Source organism: Homo sapiens, chromosome 18 (assembly GCF_000001405.40).
Source record: "Homo sapiens chromosome 18, GRCh38.p14 Primary Assembly".
NCBI lineage: Eukaryota > Metazoa > Chordata > Mammalia > Primates > Hominidae > Homo > Homo sapiens.
In genome coordinates, this window is record NC_000018.10 from 44,530,822 (window position 1) to 44,555,448 (window position 24,627).

The 24,627-nt window shown below is 37.3% G+C and overlaps 2 long non-coding RNA genes across 2 annotated transcripts in view, besides 1 other annotated feature; one reads left to right on the forward strand and one right to left on the reverse strand.

The window, feature by feature from the left end:
• Positions 1 to 876, reverse strand: part of LINC01478 (long intergenic non-protein coding RNA 1478) — a 208,263-nt gene extending 207,387 nt beyond the window's left edge. The window contains exon 1 of the long non-coding RNA NR_110792.1: positions 635 to 876. This is a non-coding gene — a long non-coding RNA (long intergenic non-protein coding RNA 1478). The remainder of the gene's footprint in view (positions 1 to 634) is intronic.
• An 81-nt stretch (positions 877 to 957) lies between these two features.
• LINC01601 (long intergenic non-protein coding RNA 1601) lies at positions 958 to 23,082 on the forward strand. Its single transcript, NR_131768.1, has 5 exons — positions 958 to 1,006; positions 11,340 to 11,494; positions 12,092 to 12,274; positions 22,139 to 22,284; positions 22,668 to 23,082. It is a non-coding gene; the product is annotated as a long intergenic non-protein coding RNA 1601 (long non-coding RNA).
• Positions 21,884 to 22,420: an enhancer, noted in NCBI's record as "NANOG hESC enhancer chr18:42132670-42133206 (GRCh37/hg19 assembly coordinates)". NCBI's record gives its function as "activates a minimal SCP1, AML or CMV promoter by ChIP-STARR-seq in naive H9 embryonic stem cells {active_cell/tissue: H9 hESC(naive)}" and the evidence as "EXISTENCE:reporter gene assay evidence [ECO:0000049][PMID:30033119]".
• Positions 23,083 to 24,627: the final 1,545 nt, after the last annotated feature.

Here is a 24,627-nt window from a genome sequence, read left to right on the forward strand (position 1 = left end):
ACACTTAGGCAAGAGTTATTTGTGACATATTTAGTGCTTTTTACACTTTTATTTTTTGAAGTATGTGTTGGTAATCATTACCTTGATAATATATACAATCTGTTTCCTATCCTGCATCCTGTCGATGCTCCTTCTCTAGTGAATTTGTAAGGAACTTTTGATGAAAGCAAACAAAATATGCAATCATCAACATGCTTAACACTCACAGCCATCATTCTCATATGGAAAATTGTTTAAATCACCCATTCAAACATGTTCATTGTGGCAATCACACCACCTCCATAAATTGTGTTGTGAAAGAGAAAACACACACACTCTCCCACTGATGTTCCTGCCTACAATAACTCAAGGCAAAAGCTAAAGGCTACAATTTGCTGTCAGGCTGTCAAGTTCTGGACCCACTGGGCACGTTGATTTCAATTTTCCTTTCTGCAGATGCAATATCTGGCATCTTGGGGCTACAGAGACTTCTAAGTAGGAGATAACTACAATATTCTAAAAAGGAAGGGGAAAAAGAAGAGATTAACTCTCACAGCTTCCCAATGCATGTTAGCATAAAAATACAACAGTACTCTTTATAATTTTCATTTTAGAGGTTATGAAAGGCAGTTTAAACGTGGCTTATAAACTTCACCTGAATTATTCCGCAGTGTGTATCGCAGTATTCTGCACCACGTGGGTCCTGTTCACCTATTATCACAGAAGTTTAGAGGTGGAAGGGACAATAAATGTTTGACAAGGTGTTAACAGTCCATATCTCCATGTCTTCCATTCACGTGGCTCACCATCCACATATTCAGGAAGTACTTTTATCTTTCAAAACAGTTTGGTGATAAGAAAAGAAAATGCATCGTGTGAATGCACAAAGAAAAGTGCATTGTGATGTCACAATGGAGCAGCTTTGATTCTCTTTCCTCTGAACACTAGAGAGGCCATGTCAAAGCTAGACCCTGGGAGTCCAAGCACCTCTGCAAATCCACTTCTCACAAACATGATAATTATGATGGTAGGTAATGTTATCGGTCTATTTGTGTCCCTCCAAGCTTCATATATTGAAGTTCAGCCCCAGGATCTCATAATGTGATATTATTTGGAAATAGGGCCATTGCAGATATAACTAGTTCAAAGGAAGTCATACAGAAGTAGGGTGGGTCCTAATCCAATACAACTGATGTCCTTATACAATTGGAAATGTGAACACAAACATGCACACACGGAGCATGCAGGTGAAGGTGAAGGCAAAGATCTATAAGCCAAGGAATGCCAAAGATTACCAGCAAACCATCAAAAGCTAAGAGAGGGATGAAACAGATTCTCTGTCACAGCCTCAGAAGGAACCAACCCTGCTGGCACTTTGATGTTGGACTTCTGAATCCTAGAACTGTGAGGCAACACATTCCTGTTGCTCATGCCATCCAGTATGGCACTTTTGTTATAGCAGCCCTAATACAGACAAAGATACTAATTAATTAAAACCATAAACCTCTAATAACATGAGCATATATCATAGAGCTCTTTCAAGATTATTTCCCCAAGTCAAGAAAGACATAGGGCAGAGATTTTTGTTTTAAATGAGCTGATGGAAGTGATGGGACTTACTCTCAGCTTACACTCAAAGGCAATAAAAAAAGCTGAGTCTAGAAAGGTGTTTCAGAACTGACTTTCTGCAGATTCTGTGACAATAGTCCCTGGCCTATATTGGTGAAAAGAACTGGAAAGGAGAAGAAGACTATGACTCCTAGATAGTCTCTGTTCTCTCCTGTCTGTTTCACCAGGTTAGCAATGCATCTTCAACAATAAAATGTTGAAGGAGATGGGTGCTATAAACTCAGATCAGAGTGGGAGTGTGGGAGTAGAAATAACAATGACAATAATAACATCTTTGCTTCCATAAAGTTTTCCCATTATCTATCTCTTTGAACTTTACCTACAAATACATGAGATAGTAGCCCACTTATTATTATCCATTTTTGCAGAAAGGGAAGCTGAGACTCTAAGAAGTAAAATGAATTATTCAATCAGTTCAGGCCACAGCTCGGCCAATGCTCTTTCTAGGAAACCATGCTTGAAGAAAATGCTTTCCATGGAGAATTTGTGTAAGAACATAGTTACAAAAATAAAAAAGGAGCCATTAAACTTCATTAAATTCCTGAGGGTTCTGAATCCTTGCTGCTTGACTGATGCAAGCACATGTAGGAAGGTGGCCTGGGAAGGGATGGTGGAGTGAACGAACTGAGAGACCCCTGAGGAATACAAGGACTCCCTTCACTGTTTGAAAAGTAGTAGAATAGAGCTTCCAATGTGCCCTCTGGATCTAGTATACATGAATAAACTCAAGAGAGGGCCACACCAGGCCTGCTGGCATTGGTCTACCCAAGCAGAGCTCCTGGGACTATGTGGCCACAGCCTCTGCACACAAGGCTCTAACCTACCATTTGATGGCAGCAGCCCAGGGTTAAACCTCTGCAAACAAGGGATTGATTGCATCACTGCAACCTCAAAAGGCAGAAAATCTTCCAGCTTCTCCAAACTTCCTTAGAAATCCCTTATTGATTCGTCACCTGGGTATTTATATAGTCTTTCGAAAATCTTTCATATATTCAATGCATTTCCTCTCTAGAAATAAGAACATAAGATTACTTCCCTAATTTTTGTGTTTCATAGAAAGGGGAGGCATTAGTACCTTCTTCCTTTGTAGGCTTGTCTGAGAACTCCATGAAATCAGGGATGCGAAGGGGATGGTGTAGAGTAGAATGTTTCTAATTTGTTCCCACTTCCATTCCCATTCATGCAGTAATCTAAGTCAAAATAATTACAAATAGCTCCTGACCTAAGTTGACTGCACTGAGAATAGAAAGAAGCAAAAAGAAAAGAGGCATTAAGGTGAATAGGTAGTTATGAAGTAGTCATTAGTGGAATGACTACTGATCTATCCTAAACTTGCCTCACTGTGTCTCATGATCTCAAAGTGATTCCTCTACTCCTCATATTCCACATGTCATGGACAAGACCTCCTTCTCCATCCCCTGAATGAGTTTCTGATTTGTATCCGGTTTCTCCAAAGTCTTCCTCTTCAAACTCCCATTCCATCTCATAGTCACATAGTCTTTCTTTTCCATGGGTTCACTCACTAATTAAATTTTAAGCATTTTCTTTATGCAAGTTGCTGGCCAATTACCAGTGACACAAAGATGAACAAAGCACTGTTCATGTCCTCACAGAGTTCACTGTCTAGGGGCAGAATTGCAGTCGAGTGGGAGAGTGAGTTGGACTGAGCTCTGCTGACCAGAATGTAATGTGGGATATGGTAGAACAAGCAGAGCATGTGGGTTTTGCTCACAAGAGGGCCCCTGTGTTGATCAGAGTTCTTTGCAAACAGCATAAGTAAGTTCTGGCTTACTTAGACCCAAAGAGGGAGAGGTTGGATTATTTGAATGGCTGAAAGAAGCCTCAGGAGATCCAAAACAGGCCTCAGAAAACTAGGAGCAAAGTCTGTTTCTGAGATCCAAAAAGCAAGAATTATTAGAACAAGGTCCAATCATGTCTGGTTCCACGTGCCATTTCAAGACAAATACCAAAGAGAGGGCCCTGGCTGCTCAACCTCTGTCCTAGGCTGACTCCTTTTCCAAGAAGACCAACTCACCTTACAGATACCCTGTTCAGACTGCTTCTATTAGGGAATAGGCAGTTCCTCAAAAACAAAAACATCAAGGTAATGACACGAAATCAAGGTGGCTCTCAGGTAGAGCAAATAACAGATATCTATAATAACAGTGAGAATATAGAGGGAGGAGGCCAGGCATGGTGGCTTATGCCTGTAATTCCAGCACTTTGGGAGGCCAAGGTGGGTGGATTGCTTGAGTCCAGGAGTTTGAGACCAGCCTGGGCAGCATGATGAAACCTCATCTCTACTAAAAGCACAAAAATTAACTGGGCATGGAGGTGCACTCCTGTAATCCCAGCTACTTGGGAGGCTGAGGCACAAGAATTGCTTGAACTGCAGAGGTGGAGGTTGCACTCTGAGATTGTGCCACTGCACTCCAGCCTGGGCAACAGAGCAAGACTCTGTCTCAAAAAAAAATTTTATATGTATATGTACATATATATGTGTGTGTGTGTGTGTGTGTGTATATATATATAGAGAGAGAGAGAGAGAGACAGAGAGAGACAGAGAGAGAGAGAGAGAAGATGGGGAAGACTCCTGGGAGGAAATGAACAAGAACAAAAATGTTAACAAAAAGCAAGAGTTAGTGGTGTGAGTATAAGAGAAAGAGGAAGAAAAAGGAAGTCCTGAGGATAGTAAATAGAGATGCTTTGGGACGTGGCACCAAGGTGGGAAAGGAATAGGAGCCAGATTGTAGAAGGAACCCATGGAACGGCAAGGGTGTGGGAAAGATGACAAGAGGAAACACAGAAAAACGGAATACAAGACTCAGTGTGGCAGCAATGTAAAGGGGCACATCATGAGGCAGTGAGGTTCTAAGTGTAGAATGGTGCACAGTGCTTAGCACGTGATTAATGCTTAAAGAGCATTAATTTCATTATCAGTATAATCACAGAAAGGGGAGGCATAACTACCTTCTTCCTTTGTAGACTTGTCTGAGAACTCCATGAAATCAGGGATGTGAAGGGGATGGTGTAGAGTAGAATGTTTCTAATTTGTTCCCCACTTCCGTTCCCAGTCATGCAGTAATCTAAGTCAAAATAATTACAAATAGCTCCTGACCTAAGTTGACTGCACTGAGAATAGAAAGAAGCAAAAAGAAAAGAGGCATTAAGGTAAACAGGTAGTTATGAAGTATAAAGAAAGAGTCTTAAAACCTTGCCAGGTGTCTGATGTAAGAGATTAGGTAGATATTGGCATTATTCTTCAAGATGGGAAAGGTGGGTTTTGAGGGAAAGAGGAAGTGTTTGGTTTGGTGATGTTGAGCGTTAACTATGTCAACTATGGCTTCATGTTGGGTTTGGGTGGCAAAAGACATTCCACGGGTGGTAGAACTGCTGACACTGGCCTTCCCATGCCTTGACATTGTATATGTGACCCGAATGGCCAGAGCAGGAGTTTTTGTTCTGGGGCACTGAGTTTTGGACTGACGATGGGTACCAAGTCTTCTGACCTGCTCTGATATAAACTAGCTTACTCTTTTCTTCAAATCCTTTATCCACACTATCCTTCCTAAGGCATGTTCTCTTTATTTAAATCCCTGTGAAAATCTCCCATCTGAGGATGTCCCTACTAAAGTATTTTCAAAAGGAAAGAGAGAGGAAGCAATTAAAACAGCAACAACGAACAAGCCCTCAAGGAATTTTTAATGCCTGGAAAGCATTTCCTCCTGAACACCTGGGGTTTCTGGGATAGATAGTTTCCAAGTCTCCTAAAACTAGTCAGAAGGACCTAAATCCTTCTGTGGCTTACAGAGTCCAGTCCAGTCTTGGCACTCCACACACAATGATGAATCATAAAGAATGGAGGAGTTGAATTGGAACTGTTACTGAGCCCAAAGAGTAATTTTTTTCTTACTTATGATGTATTTCAGATCTCACAACATCTGCTTGTTTAAATTTCAGCTGGGGAATTTGGGGGGATGTTAAAAGACTTCTGGATTTCTTATAATAGAAATGAATGTTTCCCTGTGCATTCTAACTTTTCTCCTGGTGAATTTTATATCTCCTTAATCTCCTGATAAGCTTGTGCCACATGCATTACATGCTTTATTTGGAATAGAGTGCCCCCTAGGCTGGATGATTTCCCTGAAGGCACACAACGATTGCACGGGTTCGAAGGAGTTAGACACTGGTGCTCTTGACCCTTAGTGCAGTTTCCTTCCCATGCATCTCTTCCATGAGTTTGCTGAGATCCTTCCCTTCCCTAAGAGCAGGCACTCACCAGAGCATACACCATGTTAACAGGCAGTGCAATCAGTGAGGAGGCTCTTAACATCCACCTGCTCACTTGTCCAGAGAATATACTGAACAGCTCAGGCAGCACTGATTACAAAGGTCAGTAGTCGACATGTGGCTAGAGAGCTTAGTGGAGCAATAATCAGGTGCAGGCTCTTTCCTTCCTCTTAGAGTTTTTCAATTTGATAGGGTAACATGCTCAAGGATGTGAGGTGACCTCTGGGAGCACTGCAGCTTTGTGTTCATGATACTCATCTTTAAAAGTGTCTGTGACCCAGAGATATATCAAGTGATGAAATGAGAGAGGTTTTGCATCCTGCTCGTATGTGACAACCTGAACCTGGAGGACATAAGGCTAAGTGAAATAAGCCAGCCACCACCGAAGGACAAATACTACATGGTTCTCCTTATATGAGATATCTAAAATCAAACTCATAGAAACAGAGTTAAATGGTAGTTTCCAGGAATTAGAAGTAGGGAGAAATGGGAGTTGTTGCTCAATGGATATATAGTTTCCATATATAGTTTATGGAAGATGAAGAAGTTGTAGAGATCTGCTGTACAATATTGTGACTAAAGTTAACAATACTATACTGTGCACTTAAAATTTTGTCAAAGGAGTAGATCTTCTGTTAAATCCTCTTACTACAATTTATGTGTGTGTGTGTGTGTGTGTACGTATATATATGAAGATACTAGGGACAAAAGTAAAGCAGTGTCAATCACTTACATTTATAAATAAACTTAGACCTAGGAAAATGAAGCCACTTGCCACAAGCCACAGAACTAATCAGTAGCAGGTTTGGTAGAAGAATGCAAACCTCTTAACTCCCAGTCCCGTAATGTTTCTACACATTGAATAGCATATAATTGCAAAGAATACACCAAAGTAACTGTGTTAATTTCTCACTAGTCACGTCAGCAGGAAAACTCAGGTTTAACAAATAACAAATTGGAAACAGCCCTCAAGGCACCACTCCAAAGCTGGTCTGCCAGTTTAGGAGCCTGTGATCCCAAGTTGTGAGTCAGAGCCATTCCAATGAGTCACATTGCAATGCTGGCCCCCTGGGCATCTCACTGTATTTGTAGGAGCAATTCCAAATAAGCAGACAGATGGGCTCCATGCAGACCATAAGCCAGAAAGCCTGCTCCTGTATGCTTGCCTGGGGATGCTGAAAGTGGTTACCTGTCATGAGTGATATATATATATATATATATATATTCCTTCTACTCACCTGTACCTGCTACAGAAGAAGTCAGATTAGGTAATTTCCTACCCTAGAGCGACTTGAGCAGTAGGTATCTTGCTCCAAGATATCCCCACTAGTGTCAATTCAAAGTTTCTAAAATTTTAAACTTAAAAAAGTATTTATTACTGTGATTCTTAAAAGCCCTTTTGTATTTTAAGAACCACCTTATTTACATTTAATAAAATGTAAAGAATAAAATGTAAATCTTTGGGCAAGGGAAATGAGATTAACTTAGGAGACCACTCGTTACTAGGAAACATGAGAAAGAAAAAGGGGAATATGGAAGTATCAGAATTCAAATTAATATGCTTCATCTGTCATTAACTTTTTCTGAGCACTTAATATATATCAGGCCTGAGCTAGGTGCTGGAAGGACAAAGATGAATAAGGTGTGGTCTCTGTTCTCAAGTTCAAGAGTCTCTTAGACAAGCAAAGGAAAGAAATGTGAATAATCGCAACATTATGCAATGAAGTGTTTTAATGGTGATATTAAAAGTGTTTTAATTATGAAAAAACAGATGAGGGCTACATGAAAATTTCCAAAAAATAGATTATATTTGCCGAGGAAGTGATGGTCAGACTATTTATAAATAAGGAGAAGCTCATCATGAAACAAAGAAGGCATTTGAAGCTGAAGAAGCAATATGCACAAAGGCACAGAAACAAAATAGATACTTTACCCTCTGGAATAACAAGCAATTTGGAATAAATATAATGGTGACATCACACACATCCATTTTTAGGGTGACTAGCCATTCCAGTTTGGCTTGGTCTAAGGTGAGTCCTGGGGCACGGGACTTTTAATGCTAAAACCAGGAAAATCCTGAGTAAACTGAAATGAGTTGGTCACCCCATAGATGGCCATGAGGAGAAAGATGTTTATGTTTGGGAAAAAGTAGCAAAGCAAATTGCATAGTAGAAACCATACTGAACCAGGAGTTAGAAGCCCTGAAGGTGAACTTGGCTTTGTCATTACAAGGAGTCTTCTTGGAATCACTTTTCTAATGGCTACTTGGGCAAGGAAGCTCTGGTATAATTTCAAGCTCAATAGCTCCATCATTCTAAATGTCTTGGGACATTTAGAGCAAAGAGCAAAGTGAGGTAGAATCACCTGCCTGAACAACAGATCATTCCATAGAACAGTAATTCCAAGAGTACATGTCTTTCATGCACAAGTTATCTGAAGCCTTCCCCAAAAGCAAAAAGAGCCTCAGGAGCTAGAAATCTGAGAGACTACCTACTGCTACGTGATAACCCATGGAAGCCATAAATATGAGTGTATTAATGCCTTATTCAAAATTAGCCACTTTCAGGCACAAGTCACTGGTTTGTGGCTAGGCATCAAAATGATTAAAAAACAATCAGTGTCTGTTTATCATTACTATATAGATATATTTTACATTGTAATGATCTGGAGCTGCCAATCTCAGTTGCACTGTGGCTTATCACAGACTTTCTTATTCATTCATTCAGTCAATGGATTATAATAATAATTCTTTAGTAGAGGAAAAAAAGTATGTGATACTTGAACTATCACTTCACTGAGGTGATTACATAATTTAGATGAGTACCTCTTAGAATTACTAAAGTAGACCAAAAACTAGAATTACTTTTGTAATTGTTCTAGACCAAAGCAAGAATTACCGAACATGCTTCAGACTTCCAACTGCACAGAACCTCTATTCATATTAACCCCAAAATTCCAAAAATAAATCATGCCTACACTGCACCTTGACTGTCTATAAAACATGAAAACAGTGACCAAATTTAGTCCAAGGAAAAAAAAAAGTCAGCATGTGAGTGAGTTAGATGAAGAGTCCTGGAGAAGAATCTTAAGGGCTCATAATTGGTTGGCTGACTACAGTTAGTGTCTCAGGGCCTTATCCAGACAATCTTCTTTTATGTGAATATCATGAATCCAAAACAAAATGTGAGCTCCCAAACTAAATTTTCTATTTTCTGGAATTTTAGTTTTCTCATCTACTTCCATAGTTGGGAGATCAGCCCAGCAAGCCTTGCAAAAGTTCTAAAAAACAATCAGTTCCATTTCCAACCCCAGTGATTGTTCTCTGCTTCGCAGCTTGTAGCCTCTGCCAGAAAATGAAGCAAACGTTCCTTCTCAAAGCAGGTGCAGCAGCCTGACAATAATCCAATAAAAAACCTATTAGCTGGGTCTCCATGACACTCCTGGTATCCATGGGACCCACAATATCTTTAATGTAGATAATAAATCCAGACCATTTCCTTCTGCAATTGCTCCCAATATGGCTCCACTCCTAGGACTGTTCCACTAACCTTTTGTTGCTACATTTTCTCATGAATGCTGAATCACTCTCTAATCTTTGCCGTGAAACACGTGCAGTCCCACTCAGTGACATGGATCAATCTGCTTGTGTTAGCCAATTGCAATTGCCTACTGAGCCACATCCGTAGATTGCAAACAGCAGGCCTAATACTGACCAAGTTTTAAATTATCAGTCATGGGTTGGTGGTTAAGTGATGATGGGTAAAGAGGGAACCCAAGAGGTGATTTGAGACCACTGGAGGCAGTGCGTATATCTCTGAGTAACTCTGCATATGTAAGCTCTAATGCAACAATTTGACCTGCATATGTCAGGTCAAAATGTTAAATAAAAATTCAAGGAAAAGGTGTTCCAACTCATCTCACATGTCGATTTTACCTTAATATTCCTGTTATCATATCTCATCTCAATTCAGAAATCTTCTATGGCAGGCTATACTAAAAGACCAAACCTCTCTTTCAGCTGGGATTTAAGAATTTCATCACTAGGTACCCTCCATACATCCAACTCCATCTCTTATTGTTCCCACATTAACATTCTATTTAAAGAAGCAAAATGGATCACTATTAAATGTGCATGATGGTCATTGTCTTAACACTTTATTTGCTAGACTATAATCTCCATAAAGCAGGCACCAAATTTGTCACATTTACCCTATATCCACAGCACCTAGCATCTAGTATATACATAATAGTTCTTGCAACTATAAATTAATTTGTACATATGCTTCTTGCTCTAAAATTAATGCTCTTTCCCTTCTCTGTATTTTCTTAATTTTCAAGGCCCTGCTTAAATCCTATATCCTCCTGACAGATTTTCCTAGGCCATTCCTGACTATATTGCCCTATTTTCATCAAAGACCAATTATGTAATATAACCCATGTCTCTTTAATTCTTGACTTGGAAAATGTTAGAACTTTAAAAACACTTAAAGTTCATCTTGACCGACACTCCACTTTTTATAAATAAGAAGTCTGCAGCCAAAGAAAATACATCACTTGTCCAAGTTTACATAATACATCACAACCAAGACTAGAACGAGACATGGGGTTTTGCACAACCCCAGCTCTGTCATAACTTGGTCTTGTCTGCACCAGGAGACTGTCATTCATTCCTTGAAAGCTTGTTAAGTGTCTGTCAATTCCTCCACAGGCACAGAAGAGATTCCGTCCTGACGTTTGATAAATATTGTTTATTGGCATATTTGTTCCCTGATTTAAAATTGTGAAGTCTAAAGAACAATGGAAAATCAATGCTGAATAATTTTTAAGTGTTAAATTTTGTCTTTGTTTCATGTTTAATGAAAAATTAAAGTCACTTTAGATCTGCGGTGATTTGTCTTAAACCAACAAAAACATCTGGGTAGCTATTAAATGTCTTACAAGCTGTAAAAAATCAACAGCCACTCAGAATCAATAGTTCTCCTGGGAAACTGTTTCTATTCATCAGTGCTTTCTACAAAATGTGACTGAAGTATTATAATAAGAACCTGGAAAAATAGTAAGGTATGGAAAAAGGGGTGTCATTTCATGAGATGAAAAGGAAATCTTCAAAAACATTTACTGACCATATCATCTAACCATCTGCTTCTGGAAAAATATATCATAAAAGACATGTGAGCTCCTGCCCTCCTCAGTACATGTTGTTTCAGAAAAATAAATAAATAAATAAGCCAAATTATAAGACTGTTTGCCAAGGTCCTAAACCCAGCTACATGTCAAACTGGTTAGGTAAGTAATCTTACAATTGTCTGAGCATTCATGAATATTATGTTTCTGATAAATACAGAAAAGACTGTAGTAGCGCCTATTGGCAATTCATCACTCTCCATTTCCTATCTTTCCCAGAAACACAGGGAAATTTCATTTTCAAACTTGCCTTGCAGTTATCTGTGGTCATTTGACTGAAATCTAAGCCAATGGAATGGGAATAGAGATATCTGTGCCACCTACACCTTCACACCTGGTCAATGAAAACTGCCTGCATGTTCTCCCACCTTTCAACTGATGGCAACACTAGAACTGTCTTAGCAGCCTACAGGTGGAAAATGTCAGAGTTGCCATTGATCTGAGCCCCAGAATTTCTGTGTAGAAAAGAGCCACCCTAAGCTCTTTTCTTTTAAGCTGGTGTCAACCTAAGCACCAGCCCTAGACAGTTATTATTGTTCAACCCACTGAAATTTTAGGGACTATTCTTTACTGCAGCTTAACATATTGTAACCAACAACAACAAAAAAAAATTTCCATGTTACAAGACTGTTGTAAAGTCCAAATTTTTCTTTTAAGATTATATAAATATAATATAAATTGAGAGGGGGATAATTTATTAATTGCATATATATTGTCCTTTCCCCCTAATTTTGCATGATTTTTACAGGAAAAAAGAAATACCCACACATTTCTGTATTCACATTACTATAAAATTAATATAATTTTACCAGTATAAAATTACTAGTAATAAAATATTGCTATATTCCTGATAAATAGGAATATAATATCTTTTAATCTAAAAGCTTTCAGGTAATGCAAATAAAATTCCTTCAGTCTTTTTTTAATGACAAAGCCACATTAGGAATAAATCAGATTTGAAGCAAAAATTACATAAACAATATCTCCAGTCTTTATTCCATTTGGATAGTGTAAATCTTGGCCAAAAGAAAGAACCAGAACTTGAAGATGTAATCAAAGACTTTCATTCAGGAGTATCAAGGAATTGTGACCCGTCTCTATAGCCTCCAGACCTTGACAAAGAAGACAGAATTGCTTCTCAGTTCCTCAGAGCAGAACTGTGCATGAAATGAGACCCATCAATAATTTTCTGGTATGTACTCTTACTTGGAAATGGGTGACACATTCCAGAATCAAGCCCTTCCTTATTTCCAGAAGATCATAATTTAGTAGGCAACATAATAATAACTAACACTTTTATGGTAACTCGTAGCTCAAAGAATACTCTCAAAGTTTCCTTTCAGTCAATAGTATTACCACCAGGTTTTCACATTTTAATATGAATCTTGACATAGAAACCAGTTGTTTCTGACTTCACACTATCTCTGAGTTTTCTTATTTATGTTCCATTTCAATATCCAACATCCTACATAAACTTTAAACTCCATATCTGAATTCCTGAAAAATACTCCTAATTACTCTTAGCTCAAACACTGTCTCTTTAGTTCCTGTGCCATAGCAGATGCCTTAAAATATTGGTGCATCATATAAAATAAGAATACGTATCTTCTACTGAATACTAAGCGCTACACTCTATGCTAAATACTCTACATTTATTGTCTTATTTTATTCCTGCAATCACTACATAGTAGATCTCATTTTTCTCCACATATAATGCTTGAGGACACTGATGCTTAGAGAGGTTAAGTAGCTTGTCTTTACTTGCAATCTTTAGTGGTAGGGATAAAATTCCCTACCTGGCTTGTCTGACTTAAGAACTTGAAATTTTTATCATTATATTCTATTGTCTTTAGAATAATAATAATAAAAATAAAATGTCCCTTAATCCATTTGTTGGTTTTTAAGTACAAACCCCCCTCTCAATTCAATCCTTTTCTATCTCAGAGAATTCAAAATGGTCCTCTATGTTGAAACATATTCTCACTTTCTGGTGAAATTCAAACTTGTTCATAACATCTCCCACAGCTATTACTCTATCATCTTTTTGGCTATACTAAGTAGTCATTTAAACTGAACTTTTTTCTGTGTGTATGTATATGAGGTATTTTATATATAATAATATATAATATTATACATATTTTATATATTATATATTATATAATATATATATTATAATATATATAATATAATATATATATTATAATATATAATTATAAGATATATATTAAAATCTTATAATTATGTATATAATTATGTTTTATACATATAATATATAATAATGTTATATATTAATTATATATAATATATTATATATATTCTATTATATATTATATTAATATATTATATATAATAATGTTATATATAATATATTATATATAATAATGTTATATATAATATATTATATATAATAATGTTATATATAACATATTATATTATATATAATGCATTATATATAATTATGTTATATATAATATATTAATATATTATGTAATTATATTATATATATTTAATATATTATATATTATATTAATATATTATATGTTATATAACATATATTATATATTTAACATATAATATATTATATTACATATAATATATATTATATTACATATAATATATAATATATTATATTACATATAATATATATTATATTACATATAATATATAATATATTATATTACATATAATATATAATATATTATATTACATATAATATATAATATATTATATTACATATAATATATATTATTTTATTATTATATTATATATCATTATATTATTATTTTATTATTATATTATTATAATATATTAATTTATTATATATAATATATAATATATTATATATTTTTATATACTATATTATATATTATATATTATATAAAATATATATTATATATTATATAAAATATATAATATATTATATATAATATATAATATATATTATATATTATATATAAATATATATTTATATATAATAAATATATTATATATTATATATTATATATATAAAATATATATTATATAATATATCATATATATGATATATATAATATATATTATATAATTATATATTATATATATCATATATTATATAATTATAATATACTATATATTATATAATATATAATTATAATTAACATTATATATTATATAATATTATACACAATACATATTTCTATTCCCTTATATCCCTTTGATCACTCTGTGATCTTGTTCTCCAAAAAGCCTTTCTCCTCTGTCTTGGCAACTTCCTTTTCTTTCTACTTATAGTTCAGATACACACATATGTACTTACCCACAAGAGTCTGAAAATATTTATTTAATGCTTATCACCTGTGAGGCAGGGTCTCTTCTAGGTTTCAGCAAAACAGCTGTGAGCAAAGCAGAAAAAGTTCCTACCCTTAAGGAGTTTCCATTCTGGTAGAGAGACTGACAATTTGTGAACATGCAAATGAGAAATGAAAAATGAAAAGTACTATGAAGAACATAAAACAGGATAAGCCAATAGAAAGTGTCATGGGCAAGGAGGGGATTATTCTAGCCTGGGTGATTAGGAATGGACTATCTGAAGCTGTACCATTTGCACTAAGGCCTAAATAATGAAAGAGCCAGCCATGCAGAGGCTTGAAAGAAAGATTTCAGGCAGAGAGAACAGCTGTGCCCCAGAGTGAGAATAAGCTTCTTGTGGCCCCACTATAGCCAGCAGGTGAATGTGGCTGAGGGTAGTGGGTAAAGGGGAAAAAATGAGGTTGGAGGTGTGGCCGGACATAGAATATCTGGAGCCTAAAAGTCAAGGTTAAGATCCTGGCTGGGTCCTCGGTGAGGTGGCAAGCAATATGAGTTGGTGAGCCAGGTTTTCCATTTTTTAAGAGTACACTCTGGCTGTTGTATGGAGAATAGACTGTTGATGCAACAACAGTGGAAGGCAGGAGACAAGTAGTCTATGCAGTGGTCCAGGGGAGACATTTTTATTATGTGGTCTACAGTTATGTTTATGAAGATGGAAATGATAGTGTGTGTTTGGAACATATGTCCTTCACTCTTCTTTTTTTACTTCCAAATTATATTAAGTTTAAATCTATATATGTTACAAACTCTATTGAAGTTTTGAATCTTCTTCCAGGCTTTTCCTTCTAATCCTCAGCAATTATTTCAGTGTATAATTGCCCAATGTAGTGAGTGTTGATGTACATATTAGGTTGGTGCAAAAGTAATTGAGGTTTTTGTCATTAAAAAGTGATAGCAAAAATGGTAATTACTTTTGCACGAACCTATTACCACAGTAGGCCTTCAACAATATCTCATGTGTAAATGCATACATGAATTCTAATTTTTATGATTTTCTAGTTTCACATGTGCTGAAGTCGCCGTAGGCTTATCCCCTGATACAGTTTGGAAGTGTCCCCACCCCAATCACATGTTGAAACATAATCCTCAATATTGGAGGTGGGGCCTGGTGGGAGGTCATTGGATCATGGTGTAAATTTCTCATGAATTGTTTAGCACCATCCTTTTGGTGCTGTTCCCAGGACAGTGAGTGAATTCTTGCAAGATATGGTTGTTTAAAAGTGTGTGGCACCTCCTGCTCTCTTTCTTGCTCCTGCTTTGGCCATGTGATGTGTCTGCTTCTGCTTCACCTTCTGCTATGAGTAAAAGCTTTCTGAGGCCTCCCCAATGACAAGCTGATGCCAGCACTGTTTCCTGTACAGCCTGTAGAACCACGAACCTATTAAACTTCTTTTCTTTGTAAATTACCCAGTCTCCAGTATTTCTTTACAGTAGTGCAAGAATGGCCTAATCCATCACCCTAGTAGACCTGTAATCCCCTCTAAGGATAGAACTTGTCCTTTTTCTTTTTTTTTTCCTTTTTGTTGTAGCAGGGGGTTCTTTACAGGACTAGGTATATTGCTTGACATATATATATTTTACATTTTGAATTTTTTTAAGTAATTCATAATGAAAAAGTAGCACTGATGTGTCCACTATTCAATTTGGCAAATATGGATTGACTATTATAGACTCCTCCACAAGCAAAAGGCTAAGTATGATGTGTTAAATTTGTTTTAAATGTGGCAGAATAGCAGTGTACTTTGCAGAAGCAGAAAATTCAGACTTTCTAAAGGTACAGTTTTTCTGAAGAATTTAATGATAAGCTTGGCTAAATATGCCGAGGCTATGTTATGAAGGTCTTCAAAAAATATTGGCCTTCATCCTGCAGGCAATGCAGAGAGCTTTTCTGAATAGGCAAATCACCTGAGCAAAGTGTTAACTTGGAGGAAGCGTTCAGGGTTCACTGACTATGGAAGACTTTGAAACCAGATAGGGCGGAAAGAAACTATTTCAAAATAATCATCTGCATATAAGGAAGAATTAAAGGTAACTGATATTTTTAATGCCTACATATGCTTATGAAAGTGTCAGGTATTGCTGAAGACTTTATAGACATAATCTCATGTTAATTCTTGAAAAAAATAGAAAGCAAATCATTATTTCAATGGTATGGCTGAGAACTTGAATCTCAGAGCTTATGTCGTATCTAAAATCATAGAAGTCAGATCAAAATGGTACTAATTAATATTAGTAATAATTCAAAGTCATGTGTAGGAATTGATGTTTAAATATGAGGGTACAAGAGAAGCAGCTCAACATCATTGCAAGCTTTTAATCCTGTGGCACTAGAAAATGGGAGTTGCCATTTATGGGTGAGAGATGAAGCTAATAAAAGAGAGTCTATTCTCCATTTATTTACTTTGTACCTTAGGTTAATTTTCTGGATAACTACCATTCTAATAATATGCCTTCTCAGCAAACTCAATTTTACCATATTTGTCTCTAAATTATCTTTGTAAATATCCTGTGCATCTTCCCAAAACAATTTTCCACCACTGAGTGTAAAAGATCATTGTATTTTTCTTTTCTAGTTGAATATTTGTGGAGAGTTTGGCTAGCAAACCTAAATTACAACATTTTAGTATATATAATTTAGTACAGGGAACAAAAAGAATTAGAGGCATTGCACAGAGTTTGTAAGATTATTGTTGCTGTTTCCATTGTTTGGTAGAGTGTTTGCAAGTTTAGAGACTAAATTGTAGTTCATTTTTGTTCCTTATCATTTTTTAAAACTTTTTGTGTACATTTAAGTTCATAGCATATAAAGGCTTAATTCTCACATTGTTGGTTTTGGAAAATCATCAATTTATAAATGCAATATCCCTTTCTTCTCAATAAGGGTCATTTTACAAATGGAAAATGTCAAAATTCTTATGGTACAGTTGAAAACAGAAGCACTCCTCATGGTATCTCAGATATGCAGTTAAGAATGGGAACACATTCTTGATATTTTATTCCCATCCACCCACCCCCTAATGTACCTTTCTTTCTTGAGCTCATGGCCAAGGAAGAAAACGAATGTTTCTAGTTTTTCCCTGTTATGTCCAACTGTGGTTAAATGTCCCTGAAGCACGTACAGTGGTTTCTTTGTGTCTATGTTTTCTTATCTATGACCACATTTTGCCCTTACAATAGCCCCAGCAGATAAGTAGGCAAGTATTACTATCCCCATTGTGCACACAGATGTTCCAAGTTCAAGAATGTTGCCTAAAATCACAAAACTGGATATTGGCAAATCAGGTCTCTAGACATCCTGCCCATCCATCTTCTTTCTCCTAAACAGCAGCCTATGAGGCTGGACTAACATTTTTCTAGATTAAAGTGATACACATTAACTACAGCTGTTTTTCCAAATATGTGGGTGGGTTAGTCAACAGCTGTTCTTAACCCTAAAGAGAAGCAAAAGCACAACCGCAGAGAATGACAACAGGAAGCATCTTTCAGGCAATTTACAACTTTAGGCCAGGCCTCCATCTGTTGTAATAAATAGAAGAGAAGATTGGGTAATTACCTATTATGTTGATCCCTGTAGATAGCCACTTTTCCTAAACCCCTCAAATCACTTTGTCTTTAGAAGCATTTCCTTCCTTCTCTTACCCTCGTATTTTCTGACTGATTGTATGGTAAATACTTTGAGGGCAGGGACAGGATCTTCTACGTCCCATATAACTAGACTGCTTGGCTTAGTTGGTGCTAACAAGCACCAGGGTGTCACATGGGGTTTCAGAGGTGGGGCGGGGCACGGGGATCCCATCTCAGTGCTGTACTGGAATCTGCCCAGGATTCTTGTTTATAAGCACAACTGGCCAAGTGCAGACTTTCTGTGATATCTTTCCCTGACTTCTTAACAGTCAAAATTCAGCCTGTTCTTCAAGATTCAATTAATTCCACCTTCTCCATGAAGATTTACCCAAATATGCAAGTTGATTCCCCCCAATAGAATCCCTCAAGCTATTGATGACTCCTTTATAGCCCCAAGTCATACCCTACCTTTCACCGTTAATTATGTCTCCTCAATTAAAATAGAAGTTCAGGGACTGTGCATTTTATTTCTTGTAGTTCTGCCCCACTCACTTCCCTTCTCACCCACTTCTACCCTCAACTAGTATGAGTATGTGGCACAGAATTGAGGTCATATGAAAAATGACAATGTGAATGATTTTTATAAATATGTTGGGACTTACCCATCCAAGCAAAACCTGTTCCCTTCAAAGCAGTTTTCTTAGAAAGCTCAGCATATTACAGCCTTTGATGTTCTCTCCTCTCTCAAGTAGGTTCATCTTTTAGAGGGTAGGTAGCTGATGCTTACTTTATTCTATATTAAATAATCTGACCTCTCCTGTGCTTTCTCTTCACCAACAGACTGGGCACATTTCTCCAGTTGAAAATTGTTTCCAACTTGAAGCACTCTAGTTGAGATTAAAAAGATAAGGCAAATGAAATATCAGAGAATGGCTCAAATATGTATTTAACCAATTGTTGCGTGTCTTTACATTCTTCATGCTCTATGCAGAACAGATCTTTCCTCTTTAGAGCCCCCATAGCATTGGGAACTCCAACAGAGCACACCCCTGATACACGCAGTGGTGGGCTGCTGCCCTGACTCTTGCTGCCCCACCAGACCATGAGATCTGGTGGAGCAGTAAACAGGCATTGCTCTTCTGTCTTTGCCTCAAGCCCTCACATAGTATCTTAATTAACACATCCAAGAATCGACCCATTAACTGTTTTAAAAAAAATCTTTTTCTCTTCGCATTGCTAAAGAAATTCAGGGAAGACACTAAACAGTGTGGATTTGAGAAGCCAAGTAAGATTTCATGGCTTACCACAGACCAGATGTACACTTTAATATAGTAAAATATAGGTAGGTAGAGGAAGAAGGAGGAGAGAAACATGAAGCAAAAATATTGATGCTTTGTCTATTATATATCAACAAGAAAATTGAGGCATATTTCATCATCACTACCCTACATAGGTTCAGTGATTCTATGAATATTGTTCAATCAAGAAATTGCCTCCATTTGGTAAGAGTTTCAAGTTACGGATTACCATGGCTTTGAAAGAAAGCAGAGTGGCTTTGGGAAATCAGTTAAATTTTCTAGGCCTTGGTTTCCTCATCTTTAAAATGAAAATAGTGGTGCTTGTCCTGTCTCCCTAGGATGAAGATAAAGATTATATGAGATAGTATATGTAAAATACTGTGAAAAGTACTAGGGCAAGTATAAGGAATTATCATCTAATTTAGTTGCTGACAGGGGAAGAGAACATAATTATCTGAAGATGGATATGGTATCCATGCTGAGTCACTTGCTTTCAACTCTCTTTTACCCAGGGCCAAAGCTTCTTTATGAGAAAGCACCAGGCAGGTGTAATCAGGCTTCACAAAAGATGGTTCTCCTCCCCTTCCTTTCTCTTTCACCTTCCAGGATTTTGGATCCAAGGAATGCTTGACAAAATGAACTTGAAATTATTTCCTTGCAACTACATTGTCTCTCTTTAATGTTGTAAGAAATATATTTTAATCGCTATTGTTTTTCAATGTCTCATACAGAAAGAGGAGATGTTTCATAAAATTTGATGAATGAGTAAAGTTGCTAACCAACAAAGACTTGAGATTTATTCATTAATTAATTTAGTAATTTATACCAAGGATATATCCAGGTCATTTAGAAAATGGCTCCTCTTTCTTGTGTTTTAGATCCACTAGTTAATTGGTTTCTCTGCCTGGCTGATTGTCAGTCGAGACGCCTACGTTGCTTATAACTAGCATGTCCATAAACAGAGCAAAGTTATTAATTTAATCTGCTTCAGTTGGTAGGCAATGTGGGGGAACCAGCCTGTGTGTACATAGTTCTCTTGGGTTTGTTTACTGGATTACCACTTCAGAAACAGCCAGACTGTGTCTGTCTATACAACACCTACACCACTGAGCTGTTAGCTTGTGTACCCAAACAATTCATTGACTCAGTGGCAAGTGTCAATTGCTTGGCTGAATTTCTGGTTGTTTAATGAAATTGAATAGTTGATTAATTTCAATTGGTTAATCCAATAATGCTCTGGAGACCAACTGTTTTTTAAAGAAAAAATATGTATTTCTTTACTTGAAAACACTAATATTAGTTTTAATCACCTTCACACAATTACATTTTTTTTTTTTTTTTGAGACAGAGTCTCATTCTGTCACCAGGCCATAGTGCAGTAGCATGATTTTGGCTCACTGCAACCACTGCCTCCCAGGTTCAAGCAACTCTCCTGCCTCAGCCTCCTGAGCTGGGGCTACAGGCACATGCCACCATGCCCAGCTAATTTTAGTATTTTTAGTAGTGACGGGGTTTCACCATGTTGGCCAGGATGGTCTCGATCTCTTGACCTTGTGATCCACACCCGCCTCGGCCTCTCAAAGTGCTGGGATTACAGGCATGAGCCACCGTGCCCAGCCACACAATTAAATTCTTTATTCCAGCCTAGGCAAATATAAAGAACATTGGTTTAGGAGCCAAGAGATCTGTATTCTTTCTAGTCCTGCCTCTCCTATTGCCTAATTGCTTGACCTTGGGAAATAAACCTTACACTTCACCTTCTCTCCCCACCACTATGCCCTACATTACTTCTCACTCCCAGCCTCAATGGTATCACTTGTAAATGAAAAGCTTAAACCAGTAGCTCTCAAGTTTGTGTTTTATGAACTTCTGATGCCATGACTATACTGGACTTCCTCATTACAGAATCCTTGTTTATGTAGGCTTCAAATATCTAAGTGCTTGTGACTCCTTCTTATTATGTATATATTATATCTCAGAGAAATTGCAAGGCTTCTAAATAGGGTTGACACTTGGGTCTCATTTTGGGCTATGGGTAGAAGTTAAACTGGTGAAGAAGTAGACAACAAAGGGGAAAGTTTAAACACAACCACATTTACAAGATAGGAGAGTCATAGTCATAATGCTTCCAAAGAAGTAGATGTTTCTCAGTTTACCCTGAGAAGAGATGTGGCAATAGTTAGAACGGGATAATAGGTGGTGGCTATGGTGTGGTGGCTCTCACAGTTATTTAATCAGTGATAGTTCTATTATTTCCCAACACTTGTTTTAAATGATGACAAAGGCTCCAGAAATGGAGCTTATATTCCTAAGCCTAAACCTTCCTGGTGGCTCTAGGACATGGAATTGGTGCCAATGTGCCATGTGGTTGAATGGGAAAAGAGGCTTGTGTTACAGCAGGAGTACCAGTTGTGGTACTGGACTTGTGGTACCTGGAGTACAAGGAAGCTGTCACAGTAACCCAGGAGAGAAGTGACGAGGGCCTAAACTGAAGGCAATGAGGTGAGTATGGAAAAGAAATTATTTTACTTGGCATGGACATTACCTGAGAAACCATGCATACGAGCCTCCACCCCTGTTTTCACAGAGCAGACCTGTCCTCCTGGGCTAATTTGGGAGTGTGGTAAGTTAGGGTATATTTTACTGTATTTGTTTTTTAAACTAACAGTTACAAAACATGTCAGAAGTACACATGAATTAACAAACTCCTGCAGGCTGGGCTGAAGTTTTACTGGAGACTATAGGAGGTCTGTTGGCATGACAACCAAAGGGAAGCTTCTTCGGGGCCCCACAGTGGATTCTGCAGTGGCCTAGGTCCATGATAAAGCTGCCTTCCTTCCCTGCAGGAGCCCATCTCACAGCTGTGTGTTCCAACAGCAGGCTTATACCCCTGGCGTTTTCAACAACATGGCCTAAGGCACAGCCTTATAGGCTTTCTAGAAGAAAAACTTCTTTGGGAGCCCTTTCCTGCTCACTTACCAGCCCTGTGATTGTAAGTGAACCCTGGAAACTTTCAACATCTCAGCTTCTTCATTTGTAATATAGGTGAATAAAACATTCATTTTATATAATAAAGATTAAATCCCCAAACAAAACAGAAATCCCCCACAGCTACTCTACAGAGTTGGAAAGCAAGGTTATCCTGTGGATCCAGGGAAATAAAATTGCATGTGAAAAACCCTTGTAAGCTATAAAACACTATACATGCACTCACATATGTCATTGTTAAGTGAGTACCTTATGCTATCTAAGTACCTATTGTTGTACAACAAACTACTCCAACATTTAGATGTTTAAACTAACAAAGGTTTAGCCTTTCTCTCAATTCTGTGGGTGAACAATCTGAGTGGTGTTATTTTTGTCCTGTCTCCCTAGCATGAAGATAAAGATTATATGAGATAATATATGCAAAATACTGTGAAAACTACTAGGGCAAGTATAAGGAATTATCATCTAATTTAGCTGGCTACAGATACCCAATGGTTCATCCAGAAGTTTGTTCCAGCTAACAGCAGTTGTGCCTCTTTCATGAGACTTATCATCCTTTGGTGGACTAGACTAGACTTATTTGGAACATGGAGACCTAAGAGTTTCAAGACTGAAAGCAAATGATTAGGACATTTCCCTAAGGTCTAACCCCAGAAGTCATATAGCTTTGCTGTGCTGTATTCTTTGGGTCAAAGAAAATCACAAGGTCAGGCCAGGTTCAAGGGAAAGGGAAAATATGCTCCACCTTGTGATGGCAGATTTGGAAATAATCACATACAAATAAAATAAAAATTAAAACATGGTCAAGAATTTCCTCTCTGGCCAAGACCAGACATACAACTCAGGAGGAATCAAGGTCTAGGCCTCGCATTTTATTTTAAGATCTTATTTCAGCTTGGTGCAGTGGCTCACACCTGTAATCCAAGCACTTTGGGAGGCCGAGGTGGGTGGATCACCTGAGGTCAGGAGTTCGAGACCAGCCTGGCCAACATGGTGAAACCCTGTCTCTATTAAAAATACAAAAAAATAGCTAGGCATGGTGGTGGGCACCTGTAATCCCAGCTACTCAGGAAGCTGAGGCAGAAGAATTGCTTGAACCCAGGAGGTGGAGGTTGCAGTGAGTCTAGATAGTGCCACTGCAGTCCAGCCTGGGCAACAGAGTGAGACTCTGCCTCAAAAACGCAACAAAACAAAAACTTATTTTGTCTTCTGATTCTCGCATCTACAAACACCTGGACTACAAGCCCTCTCCACCACTCCTTCCAGAAATCCCAAAGTCCTAGATTAGCATTTTTTATGCCTTACCCAGGAATATTTTTTAATGTAAGTTAAATAAAAAAGAACACATAATACAATGGTCTTGTTTCCATTTTTGACACTACTAAAAACTAATATGAGAACTAGTCAAAGGCATCAAACTTCCCCAAGACTGAAGTTTCACACCGAAAATTAAGACGATAATGCCTACAGAGGAATTTTTACATAAAGTGGTGAAAATAAACTTCTCCTTCTGCTTGCCATTCCCAGAAGGATCCTTGATATGCCCATATGACAAGTGCCAAACTGATTTTCCACACTCTGCCTAGGGTATTAGCATGGCATCTGCCCCTAAACCTACCCCCTCCATCCATTGAAAACTTCCATTACTCTTTGCCGCCCCACCACCTTCCCCTGAATGCACATAGTTGATCAAGTGCTCTAGACTAAATTTAAACATCTTTTCAAGCCCTTTCAGCCCTAACCTCCCACACTTCAAAATATCAGAAAAATGATACCTGTGTGAATTTTCTGGTTCTTTTTCTTCTAGCCTCCTAGCTTTCTTGCCTGTGTTTCCTATCCCTGGCTAATCTAATACACTAATCTAAATGAGGAAGTCCCAAGGAGAAAATAGCTTTAGGAAGCTAACCTCCTTCAATGGCATTTGTCTGTTTATTAGCAGCCTTTGAAGCTTTCCATTAAAGAGTGATAGGTACAGAGATGGGAGCATCATTGCAAGTAGGATGGAATATAGTATAGAGGACAACATTTTGACTTATATTCTTCGAGCACAGAGATAAATATTTATGCAAGAAAAGCATCTTGTATAAGCAGAATAATTTTTTTTGTAAAAGCTGAAAAATTTTACTCTTAATATTGATGCCAGTCAACCCCCATTATAATGATAACTCAGCTAACCAAAGATTTCCACGCATCAGGTAAAGGGCCACTCAGTTCACTCGGTGCTACACAATTTAAGCCTGATCCCAGGATCCCTTGCCATGGACTTGGTCCCTAGTAGCTCTCCAGATAAGAAGCTGAATATTCTAAGAGCCAGCCAGCCTTATCTGCAGAGAGATTTTAGGCTGGG